The 12,593-nt window shown below is 58.2% G+C and overlaps 1 protein-coding gene across 17 annotated transcripts in view, besides 2 other annotated features; it reads right to left on the reverse strand.

Moving 5' to 3' along the window:
• CFAP46 (cilia and flagella associated protein 46) overlaps positions 1-12,593 on the reverse strand; it is a 134,179-nt gene that overhangs the window by 115,049 nt on the left and 6,537 nt on the right. For all 17 annotated transcript variants that reach the window (XR_007061969.1, XR_007061970.1, XR_007061971.1 and 14 more), the window contains exons 8-11: positions 11,312-11,422; positions 6,265-6,364; positions 3,128-3,226; positions 1,256-1,446 (exon numbers count right to left, since the gene is read on the reverse strand). Coding sequence is in view for 14 of the 17 variants with exons in the window: in NM_001200049.3 (NP_001186978.2) it covers positions 1,256-1,446; positions 3,128-3,226; positions 6,265-6,364; positions 11,312-11,422 (501 nt within the window). In the remaining 3 variants the exon portion in view is untranslated. The remainder of the gene's footprint in view (positions 1-1,255; positions 1,447-3,127; positions 3,227-6,264; positions 6,365-11,311; positions 11,423-12,593) is intronic.
• Positions 6,914-7,033: an enhancer, noted in NCBI's record as "active region_4236". NCBI's record gives its function as "activates an Ori minimal core promoter by ATAC-STARR-seq in GM12878 lymphoblastoid cells {active_cell/tissue: GM12878}" and the evidence as "EXISTENCE:reporter gene assay evidence [ECO:0000049][PMID:35858748]".
• Positions 8,493-8,562: an enhancer, noted in NCBI's record as "active region_4237". NCBI's record gives its function as "activates an Ori minimal core promoter by ATAC-STARR-seq in GM12878 lymphoblastoid cells {active_cell/tissue: GM12878}" and the evidence as "EXISTENCE:reporter gene assay evidence [ECO:0000049][PMID:35858748]".

A 12,593-nucleotide genomic window follows, 5' to 3' on the forward strand; every position in this document is an offset into this window, starting at 1 on the left:
GCCCTGGACCCCCTGGCCTTGAGCAGCCATGTGGGGGTGCCCTGGAACCCCTGGCCTTGAGCAGCCATGTGGGGGTGCCCTGGAACCCCTGGCCTTGAGCAGCCATGTGGGGGTGCCCTGGAACCCCTGGCCTCACGCAGCCCTTGTGGGGGTGCCCCGGACCCCCGGCCTCGAGCAGGCTGTGTGTGACAGGAGCCTGCGTTTGATGGCCCCAGGCTTGAGAAGCAGTTCTAGACACAGCTGAGCCGGGATCCAGGGTTCATTCTGTGCTGTGGGAAGTCGAAGGAAGGCCCAGCAGGGGTGTGAGGGGTGTGGTCACCATGTTTTAGGGTATGTGTCTGTGTGAAATGAGCTGGAGTGATGCTGGCCTGACACAGACTGTGCTAAGTTAAGGGTGCATGTTCTTAGCCCCAGAGAAATCTTCCATTCCTCCAAAAGGTATAGTCGAGAAACCAAGAAGCCAATAGAGAAAACTAAATAGAACTCTAGAAAAATTCAGGGAGCCCCAGAGAAGGTGGGAAGGAGCACTGGCAGTGCAGGAAGGTAGCAGACAGGGAGCGGGGGCTGAGCCGGCGGACTCAGAGTCAAGATTGTGCTGACGGCAACGAAGAGGCTGAGCCCTCCCAACAAGAAACAGGTCCTGAGATCAGGGCTGTGATTCTCCAGCCACCCTGGGCCCAGGCTCTGCAACAGCTTGTGGCTGCCCTTGCACCTCACCCCCAGTACCTGTCTCCTGCCTGCCATGGTCCACCCTGATGCCTGCCGCCTGCCTGCCATGGTCCACCCTGATGCCTGCCGCCTGCCTGCCATGGTCCACCGTGATGCCTGCCGCCTGCTGCCACGCTGGCCCCTGCATTCCTGTCACCCCTGAGGACACACCGTGCTCCTCCCTGACGCTGGGCCCTCTGAGCACTCCTGTCTCACCCAGCATGGCCCAAGTCCCACGGGGCCACAACCAGCCCCCCACTCCCGGCCTCTGTGGCCATGACAGGCCCCTTCCATGGAGGCTCGAGGGACACAGATGCCCGTGAGGCAAGGCCGAGCCTGCTTCTTCCTCTGGCGCCGCCAATGCACCACAGAGGACCCGACGTGCCTGGCCCGGAGCTGGGACAGAGGGTGGCCCTTATTGAGTACAGGGGGAGTCTGTTGCTTGTGGCACTGTCATGGCAAGGGGGCTTGGGCCACCTTCTCCTCCTCTGTCTCCTCCTATGCGCCACGCCCTCTGTGGAGGACACAGCACAGGTGAGCGCCCCACCTGTCCAGCTTCTCCAGCACGTCCGCAACGCCAGCCAGGGGCTTCCGCAGGTGGTGCCGCAGGTTGTGCTGCAGCAGGGGCAGGCAGGTGTTCCACTGCGTGGCGCACACCACGTGGATGACCCGGGGGTCGCCCAGGCGCACGGCTCGCTGCAGCGCGACGTCTAGCCTCTGTATGATATCCAGCTGGGCCTGCGGAGAAGACGTGGGGGATTCTAGGGAGGTTGCTGGCTCGAGCTGCGGGGCTGGGGCGGCACCTGCGTGCAGGGCACACTGAGAACGCAGGCCCTAAATTCATCACCCTGCGTGGCGTCATGCTCAAATCTGTCCGTGAAAATGGCCAGAGTGACTCTTTCTAGGAGGAAGTGGACGTCTCACAAGATATTACATGCAGGAGGCTTGGCGGTGCCCACACATCGTGGCTGCGCCCGCCTCCCCCGTGTGGACTCAGCGGGCGCTGCTCCCTTCCTGATCCCGTCTCTTTCCTGGGGCCTGTGCTCGCTACGCTTCCCACCCCCAGAATGCCTCCTCCGGTCTGTGCTACACGGGCCCTTCCCAGGACAAAGGCTTTGGCCAGGATTTCAGTGGAGCAGTCTCCCCACACTCCCACCTCCCACAAGCCCTGCTGGACCGCCCACCGTCCTGGGCTCACTTGGCCACGTCCCCACAGCCTGTGGCTTCCACGGGGGCCTAGCCCTCACGCTGCCCCTGGGCTGGGTGGGGCCTGAACCTCACAACTCCATCCTGCCACTTGGCTGCTGGGTCTGAAAGCCTCGTACGCCGGTGCCGGCCCCTCTGAGGTCCTCAGCAGGTGAGTCGGGGAAGCAGCCGCACAACCCACAGCGCCACAGCCACAAGCAGCCTCTGTTCACTTTCACAACAAAGTGCAACAGCCAAAGCGTCTGGAAATCATTCCTTAAACGAACACTCATTAAGCGCCTACCACGTGTGGCACCAGCGCACAGCAGCAGTCAAAAACCTCCCGCGAGAAGCTCAGCCCCACGGAGGCAGACCCAGGAGCAAGTCCACAGCGGCATCGGCACCCGCCGGGCTGTGACACGTGTGCCAGGCAGTGCGGGCTGAGGATGGATGCGTTAGGAGTGGGGATGGGGAAGGCCTCCCAGCTGCCGTGCTCATCCCCTGCCACGGCACCTCTGGCACTGACCCGCACGCCCCTGGCTCCTCTGTACCCAGCGGAGCCTCGCACTGCCTGGCTGACAGGGCCTGAGGGTTCCCAGCCGACCCTGTGGCACTTGCCGTGGTACCACATCAGGGCTGCAGGCCACCATCCTGTGAGGTTTCTGTTCATCTTTTAACTGGGAAATTATTACTGAGGAAGAGTCTAAAAGGATTCCTAGTTCCTTTCCTGGTAGTGGCTGCTATTCCAGAGCCTGTCGTCTCAGACAGCAGGACAGAGGTGGGTCAAGTGCCTGTAATTGGCACCTGACGCCAGGGCCGGCGGTGGCTTTTGCCCCTCATCATTAGGACGCCTTCCCGGACTCAAGTGAGGCTGGCAGAAAGCCCTCATGGGACGCGTGGCCGTCCCCCGTCCTCCCAGGCAGGCATCACCACACGGCGGGGAGGGGGCAGCTCCGTGGGGGCTGCAGGAGGAGGGTCAGAGGGAGTCGCATCCCAGCCCCCACCTGCACGACCCCACCCCACCAGGGCGGCGTGTAGGCCCCTGTGCGCAGGACAGGGAGTGTGGCACTGGAGGCTGGACTCACACCCGCTGTCACGGGAGCCAGGGCGAGTCTAGCAGTGGGGTCCAGGCCATGTCCCCAGCACCCTCAAGCCTGGGACACACTCAACTTGCACCAAGCTCCAGGAATCTGCAAAATAATGCCAGGTGTATGACTCCTGCGTAAGGACTGACCTCAACAGCCGCTCGGTTGTACACTTTCATCTTACTTTCAAGTCTTAAAGCTTCCGATTCACACTCCAGACATTCCATTTCAATAAGCTTCCCAGGATCCTGCAGATATAAACAGTTTTTGAAAAGATGGAGATCTGTAAGGGAAGCAGCTGTGTACATTCATGAAATTCAAAGGCATTTAAAATATTACTGGGTAGAGGTTTAACAAATACAAGTCACACGATGACACAAAGACACCTATGACGCAGAGGTTTAAGTGAGGAAGCCGTGTTTTCAGCTACACCAACTCCTTGTCTGCCTGCGGGCCCCACCACCTGAGAGCGGCACGGGAGGGTCCTGAGTTTGCCCTTTTCAGGGGCCTTGTCCCGGCCCCCAACACCTGGTACCCAGGCCTCAGCCAGGCTGCTTGGCGGCCCGGGGCTGCGCTGAAGTCTGGGAAGCAATGTGTTGTACGTCACACCGGGAAGAAGGGCACTCTACCTCTCCTTTCTTGGGGGCTTGCTGAGCTCGGGGAAGATGTTCCCAGGCCTCGGTGGCCTTACAAAAGCTGGGGAGCAACGTGTGGCTGTCATCCAAAGACCACTAAACCCACCCCGCTCGAGGGGTGACACCCCTAAACCCGCCCTGGCGTGAGGGGTGCAGGTCTTCTGGACACAGGAGACTCAAGCTCCTAGTCTGTGAGCGCAGGCGCTGATGATGGTGAAGCATCTTCACAACTATCAGACACAGACGTCCCGGGGAGCAGGTCCTCGGCGGCAGACGCCTCCGTCCCGGGGAGCAGGTCCTCGGCGGCAGACGCCTCCGTCCCGGGGAGCAGGTCCTCGGCGGCAGACGCCTCCGTCCCGGGGAGCAGGTCCTCGGCGGCAGACGTCCACAAGCACGGGAAGTACCCGCAGCACCTCGGGATGGCTGCACCGCAGTCCTGCATGTCTGGGCCTCGGTGCCGGCCAGGATGGAGAGCGCAGGAGGCCACCACCCCAGGCTGTGTGCCCCGGCCTGTCCAGCGGCTGCAAGCCTCCATGCCACTAAGGAAGCCATGCCAGGCTTCACAGAGGTCAGAAAAAGCGTTCCGTGCTTCCCACACGTTCACGGATCTTAAAACTCTTTATGTGGTCCCACAAGTCCAGGTGTCTGCCTGGTTAAATCATTTCCACCATTCACTCAGGCAATTGTGAAATGTATTACAGTGGATAGTCTTTAAAAATGCACCAAGGCTTCAAAATTAAAAACTATTCATATCCTTAACATTAGTGAGCTTTTAATTTAAAATAAATCTCGTGAGATCCTGAATGTCTAACAGTAGGCTGGCGGGGATAATGAGCCTCCTGGTAGAATGTTTACCTAGAGAAGGTCGCTTTCGACCAGTGGTCAGGAGGTAACAGGAGGGCTGGGGCCTGAGGGATGGGCAGAGGCCAACCGGGCAAAGGGCCAGGACAGTGTCCTCAAGCCGGGGCAGAGGAACATGCTGTGCAGGGGCCACGGGCGGTGGGGGCAGAGTTGGGCCACAGGAGCCTCCCTAACAGCGACCCCACGTCAGCAGGGGCCCACCCGAGAGCCTCAACCTGGGATACACAAAACATTGCTCTCAGTTCCACAGCAGCCCTTGGAGATGGGTCCTGTTACTGCTGCCATTTTGCAGGGACAAGCCCTGAGGCACAGGGAGCTGAAGGAAGGGCTGCTGGGAAGGAGGAAGTGGGGCCGGACCCAGGCGTTCCATAGTCATTCTGAATTGGGGACACCGTGCCGTGAAAACCCAGAAGATGGAAATGGGGCCCACAGAAGCCGGTAAAGGGCATCAAACACAGGAGCCTCCCACGCTGCTCCCATCCTCCGTGCGGCATGGGCTGCTGTTTCCAGCCTTGACCACGCTTCCCACCTGCACCCTGGTGGGCGGTCCCTCCAAGGGCTGCCTGGCTGTCAAGGCCACGTGAACTGCATCTCCTATTCTGAAACCATTTCCAGATCAGCACAGCCCTCAGCGTGACTGGACGGCTCCCCCCGTGCTGAGCCATGGCCGTGTCTCCTGCGCCACTGATGGTTGGTTTACGTTCACTCTTAGGTAACCTGGGCAAAGCACACAGCAAGTGCTCAATGAAGACAGCACACAGGGAGGCCCCAGCATGTGGCTGTGCATCCGAGGGTCCCCCTTCTTCACTCTCTGTGTGTAAAGCGACACTCAGTTTGCTCAAAACCATCCCTGATAAACTGATCACATTTTCCCTGCTCTGTGGAAGAGCCTGTCACAGTTCCTGAAAGCATCGGCAAACCTGATGTATGCAGTCTTACACACTTGTCGTTGTGTGAAGCTTCTTCTGGAGGGCAATACTCTAACGTGTATTCTTAAAATATTAAAAGTGAAAATTCCCTAGTCATTTCATGTAAATATACTCATCTTAGGGAAAAATCCTAAACGCAGAAAAATGTTTTAGGCACAAAATGTTCACTGCAGCCCTTTATGTAATAAGCAAAAAATTATACGGTAGCCCCCCCTTCTCTGAGAGGATACGTTTCAAGACCCCCCAACCCAGTGGAGGCCTGAAACGTGGAGTAGTCCGAAACCCGATTATACTGTGATTTTTCTAGACGGAAATCCCTACGATAAACTTCAATTTCTAAATTAGGCACAATAAGATATTTATAACAATAACTAATAATAAGATACAATCATAACACTATACTGTAACAGAAGTGATGTGGCTGTGGCCTCTCCCTCAGAATAGCTTAATATTTTCATACTGTAGCTGTCTGCAGGTAACAAACTGCAGAAAGTGAACTGCGGGTAACGAGGCACTGCCGGTGTGATTTACACGTCCAATAATGGGACTGGTGGAGGATGTTCTGGATCATCAGCATCATGAAATTTTACGCCGTCCGTAAATTGGACTCTAGAAACAACTGTGGTGCTGTGGACCCGTGGCCACAAGAAAGGTAAAGAGAAACGGGCAGGTGTAAAATTGCAAACACCATCTAACTGCAACTGTGCAAAACACAGGTAGGAAAGACGGCAATGTGCCAACCACGGACCGAAGCCCTGGGGGCCGTGGCCTGGTGAACTGCTCTTCCTTTCTTTGCCTTTTGTCCAACTGCACGGTGAGCAGCGCCTCATCCCCAGGCAGCAGTGTCATGAAGCCACTTACTTTGCTTTCCATCTTCTTCAGGTCTGAGAGGCAGGCAGAGGAGATCTCCATGCATTTCAAGGTCAAGGAAAAACGCGCCAATTCAAAAAGCAAAAGCATTCTGCAAACAAACAAACCAGCCAGCACCGGCTCAATAGGGGGCACAGGAAACATGGCTGCAGGCGAGAATCCATGTCCCCCGTTCAAGCAGAAGCAGGAAATAAAGGTAGGATAAGAAATAAATAAAATTAAGTTAATTAGAACAGAAGCCCTGTGGGGAGGCCCCAGCAGGGCTTCAAGCTACAGCACCGGAGCCCAGCAGTCTCCCGGGGCCAGCACAGTTGTGGAGGCTGCCCAGGGCCACGTCCCTACTGGACACCCTGCTCCTCGCTCTCCAGGCTTCAGGTCATGTGCAGAACCCAGGAGAAGCACAGGGATGACGACATGCGTACTCAAAGCCATTGCATTGCACAGCAGCTCAGACCCACATCTGCAGCTCAGCGAGGCCAGAGGCCATGCAGGGAAGAGGCAGGTTCCTCTTCACACAGAGCCCGAACCTTCCTCCTCCCCACACAGAGCATGGGACTCCCCACACTCCCCACACAGAGCCCGAACCTTCCTCCTCCCCACACAGAGCATGGGACTCCCCACACTCCCCACACAGAGCCTGGGCCTTCCTCCTCCCCATACAGAGCCTGGGCCTTCCCTACACTCTCCACACAGAGCCTGAGCCTTCCTTCTTCCCACACAGAGCCTGGGACTTCCCCACACTCTCCACACAGAGCCTGGGCCTTCCCCATACTCCCCACACAGAGCCTGGGCCTTCCTCCTCCCCACACAGAGCCTGGGCCTTCCCCACACTCCGCACACAGAGCCTGGGCCTTCCTCCTCCACAAACAAAACCTGGGCCTCCCCACACTCCCCACACAGAGCCTGGGCCTCCCTCCTCTCCACACAGAGCCTGGGCCTCCCCACACTCCCCACGCAGAGCCTGGGCCTTCCCCACACTCCCCACGCAGAGCCTGGACCTTCCTCCTCGCCACACAGAGCCTGGGCCTTCCTCCTCCCCACACAGAGCCTGGGCCTTCCCCACACTCCCCACACAGAGCCTGGGCCTTCCCCACACTCCCCACGCAGAGCCTGGGCCTTCCCCACACTCCTCACACAGAGCCTGGGCCTTCCCCACACTCCCCACGCAGAGCCTGGGCCTTCCCCACACTCCTCACACAGAGCCTGGGCCTTCCCCACACAGAGGCTAGGCCTCCCCACACTTCTCACACAGAGCCTGGGCCTCCCTACACTCCCCACACAGAGCCTGGGCCTTCCTCCTCCACAAACAAAACCTGGGCCTCCCCACACTCCCCACACAGAGCCTGGGCCTCCCTCCTCTCCACACAGAGCCTGGGCCTCCCCACACTCCCCACGCAGAGCCTGGGCCTTCCCCACACTCCCCACGCAGAGCCTGGACCTTCCTCCTCGCCACACAGAGCCTGGGCCTTCCTCCTCCCCACACAGAGCCTGGGCCTTCCCCACACTCCCCACACAGAGCCTGGGCCTTCCCCACACTCCCCACGCAGAGCCTGGGCCTTCCCCACACTCCCCACGCAGAGCCTGGGCCTTCCCCACACTCCTCACGCAGAGCCTGGGCCTTCCCCACACTCCCCACGCAGAGCCTGGGCTTTCCTCCTCCCCACACAGAGCCTGGGCCTTCCTCCTCCCCAAAAAGAGCCTGGGCCTCCCCACACTCTCCACTCAGAGACTGGGCCTTCCCCACATTCCTCACACAGAGCCTGGGCCTTCCTCCTCTCTACACAGAGCCTGGGCCTCCCCACCCTCCCCACACAGAGGCTAGGCCTCCCAATACTTCTCACACAGAGCCTGGGCCTTCCTCCTCCCCACACAGAGCCTGGGCCTTCCCCATACAGAGGCTAGGCCTCCCCACACTTTTCACACAGAGCCTGGGCCTCCCTACACTCCCCACACAGAGCCTGGGCCTTCTTCCTCCCCACACAGAGCCTGGGCCTCCCTCCTCTCCACACAGAGCCTGGGCCTCCCCACACTCCCCACGCAGAGCCTGGGCCTTCCTCCTTGCCACACAGAGCCTGGACCTTCCTCCTCCCCACACAGAGCCTGGGCCTTCCTCTTCCCCACACAGAGCCTGGGCCTCCTTACACTCCCCACACAGAGCCTGGGCCTTCCCCACATTCCCCACATAGAGCCTGGGCTTTCCTCCTCCCCACGCAGAGGCTGGGCCTTCCTCCTCCACACACAGAGGCTGGGCCTTCCTTGTCGCCACACAGAGCCTGGGCCTCCCCACACTCCCCACACAGAGGCTGGGCCTCCCCAGACTTCTCACACAAAGCCTGGGCCTTCCTGCTCCCCACACAGAGCCTGGACCTTCATCCTCCCCACACAGAGCCTGGGCCTTCCTCCTCCCCACACAGAGCCTGGGCCTTCCCCACACAGAGGCTAGGCCTCCCCACACTTCTCACACAGAGCCTAGGCCTCCTCACACTTCTCACACAGAGCCTGGGTCTCCCTACACTCCCCACACAGAGCCTGGGCCTTCCTCCTCCCCACACAGAGCCTGGGCCTCCCTCCTCTCCACACAGAGCCTGGGCCTCCCTCCTCTCCACACAGAGCCTGGGCCTCCCCACATTCCCCACATAGAGCCTGGGCTTTCCTCCTCCCCACGCAGAGGCTGGGCCTTCCTCCTCCACACACAGAGGCTGGGCCTTCCTTGTCGCCACACAGAGCCTGGGCCTCCCCACACTCCTCACACAGAGCCTAGGCCTTCCACCTCTTCACACAGAGGCTGAACCTTCCCAACACTCCTGACACAGGGCCTGGGTCTTCCCACGCTCCCCATACAGAGCCTGGGCCTTCTTCCTCCCCACATAGATCCTGCAGCTTCCTCCTCCCCACACAGAGCCTGGGCTTCCCCACGCTCCCCACACAGAGCCTGGGCCTTCCTACCATGCGACAAGCCCGTAGGCGTGCCGCCAACCGCACCTGCAGTCACCAATCAGGGTCTTTGCAGAAACTGACAGGCTGAGGCTAAAATTTGTATCCACATGCAAGGACCCACAGTGCTCCAGACAACTTCAAGAAAGAGCACAGCGGGTGCTCTCAGCTCTCCACTCTAAGGCTTCCTGTTGAGCTGCAGGGATCAGGATCACGCTCCTCCGGTGGAGATTAGGCCAGGGTTTCCCTCCGGGACGCCTCTCTTCCAGGAGGAGCCTGTCCATTGTGTCCCTGCAGCTGCCCGCTAGATGAAGAGCAGCCGCCCACAGTGTCTCCAGACATTGCCAAATGTCCTTGGGGAGCAGGTCTACATGTCTTCTGCTGTTTCCCGGGGAGTAATCACAGTCTTACCGGGAACACAATTGGCGGCTGCTGGCAGCGACTCAACTCGGCCCTCAGTGTGGTGTGACCATCCTCCCTGCATCCCTGGGTAGCTGTGGGCAGGAGGCTGCTTTGGGGTGGGGTGCGGACGCTTCTCCGCCCCTCGTCCCTGCCCACCTCCTCCTCCCCCTGCTCTGCTGTTGGGCCCTCTCAGGTCCTGGCAGGCCTGGCATCACAACACTGGCCTCTCCGTCCTACCTGAGCTCCAGCGCACAGGCCTGCTGGGCAGGTCGGGAAGAGAGAATCCGTAAAAGTGCCTGAGAATGCCGCCTGTGGACAGACCTCGGAACAGGGCTATTTACACTGGTCCCAAGACCTCTCGTCGGAGCGCCTGGCCACAGAAGGGGATGCTCGGCCAGGGCCACGGCCACGCTTGGCCGGACTTCAGTTAGAACAACCTGGAGGGTCTGATGGAAGACGTAAACTCCTTCCAGAACAATATATCCACACACATCCCCATGTACACATGCACTCATACCCCTCCCAAAAACAGACCCACCAGCAGGCTGGCCCTGTGCCCCTGCGGCCCAGGCTGTGGCCCAGCAGCCACCCTGCGGTCCTGGGGCCCCTCCCTCGAGGAGCCTGCAGCTGAGCAGCGGAGACCTCAATGTTGGGCAGGTGCCACCTCCCTGATGAGACCACGAACGTGCTGGCGTCTGGCGCCCCTCGCTAGCACTGATGAAGCAAGCTGTCCCACCAGGACCGAGGCCTGAACCCACAGGAACCGAGTCCTCTCAACACCCCTGTGAGCTTGGGGGACCCCTTCCCCAGTCCAGCCTCGAGAAAAGACCCCAGACCAGTCAACACTGTGGCTGCTGCTGTGCCCAGGTTCCCGTCCCACAGACACAGGGAGGTCATGGATCTGTGCCCAGGTTCCCATCCCGCAGACACAGCGAGGTCATGGACCTGTGCCCGGGTACCTGAACCGCAGACACGGTGAGGTCATGGACCTGTGTTGTTTCAAGCTCCTAAGTTTGTGGGTACTTGTTACGCAGCTGCAGATAACTAATACACCTTCTCTGTTAGTTTCCCATGGCCACCAGAAAACCAAACAGATAATTTCAGCCTCCCATATCAACAAGCTTTACTTGTTTCCCATTTTCTTAAAAATATACACAGTGCTACTAAGGAGGTGACAAAATCGCTCCAGGGGCAGGGGACAAACCCCCCCACCCACCCCGTGCCCACGAAGGCAAAACCAGCCAGTGCTTTCCATGTGCTTCTGAAAGCCTCGGGCTCAGCTTCCTGCTTCCAGGATACCAGCCCAGGACTTATCCCAAACTCTCAACAGTGCCTGGAGGATTCGAGAAAGCACAGAATCCAAACAAACCAGCCTGAAAAAGGCTCCAGAGAAACCTGTGTTTTCCCACCCATGGAACGCCACGCAGCCACCAGAACCGTGAGAGGTGCCACAGTGACCTAACCATCCATATGCCTACAAACTAAACTCATGTTAAAAAGTAGGGTATGAAAGTATTCGCAAGACAGTACAAATCTCAGGCCACAAAAGACCAGACAGGACCTTACTAAAACCTCCACAATGGCTGGCTTTTGCAAAGGTGGTTCTAGTTGCTTGTTTTACATTTTTTCACATTTTTCAGTGCCTGCTAAATTTTGTACAACGATTATGAAGATGTGATATTGGAAAAATACAAACACTTACTTTTCTTCACTGATAGAGGGAAAGCGCTGGTGGTTGTAATGACCTAAGTGTCTGTAGGCCTTCCTCAGAATGACACTGATGTCACCTGGTAAATCATTTTGCTCCGCTTTTCTAGAAATAATTCAGAGAGTAATTCAGCACAAGATCCTGTCAGATTTATTCAAATTCTTCTAAGAGAAACTCTGCGTGTATGAAATTGTGTTTCTCACTGAAGAGGAGACTGAAAATAACCCCTCCTGCCTTCTTTCCTCAAATTCCTGAGATGACTTTTCACCCCTTCTGGTCCTCCTTCCCTCCATGATGCCCGGCCTTCCTACAAGGCTGGAATAGAAACACTCAGAGGGCCCAGACCCCTCGCCAGAGTCAGCACCCCACATAGGAGCCAAACACGGGAAATGTGGGGCACTCTCTCTGCTCAACGGCGATAGGACCTGGGCCAGCATTGCTCTCTCCCAGGGATGCTGCCCATAGGACACAAATACCTCAGATCTCCTCACTCCCCTTGGTATCCAAACCCACTGTGATCTCCTCACTCCCCTGAGCACCCAAACACACTGCGATCTTCTCATTCCCCTCAGCACCCAAACCCACTGTGATCTCCTCACTCCCCTTGGCACCCAAACACACTGTGATCTCCTCACTCCCCTCAGCACCCAAACACACTGAGATCTTCTCATTCCCCTCAGCACCCAAACACACTGCGATCTCCTCACTCCCCTCAGCACCCAAACACACCGTGATCTCCTCACTCCCCTCAGCACCCAAACACACTGTGATCTCCTCACTCCCCTCGGCACCCAAACACACTGCGATCTTCTCATTCCCCTCAGCACCCAAACCCACTGTGATCTCCTCGCTCCCCTCGGCACCCAAACACACTGTGATCTCCTCACTCCCCTCAGCACCCAAACACACTGAGATCTCCTCACTCCCCTCACATCCAAACACACTGTGATCTCCTCACTCCCCTCGGCACCCAAACACACTGTGATCTCCTCACAGCCCTCAGCACCCAAACACACTGTGATCTCCTCACTCCCCTCACATCCAAACACACTGTGATCTCCTCACTCCCCTCGGCACCCAAACACACTGTGATCTCCTCACAGCCCTCAGCACCCAAACCCACCGTGATCTCCTCACTCCCCTCATCATCCAAACACACTGTGATCTCCTCACTCCCCTCGGCACCCAAACACACTGCGATCTCCTCACTCCCCTCACATCCAAACACACTGTGATCTCCTCACTCCCCTCGGCACCCAAACACACTGTGATCTCC

The sequence above is a fragment of the Homo sapiens genome, chromosome 10 (assembly GCF_000001405.40).
Source record: "Homo sapiens chromosome 10, GRCh38.p14 Primary Assembly".
NCBI lineage: Eukaryota > Metazoa > Chordata > Mammalia > Primates > Hominidae > Homo > Homo sapiens.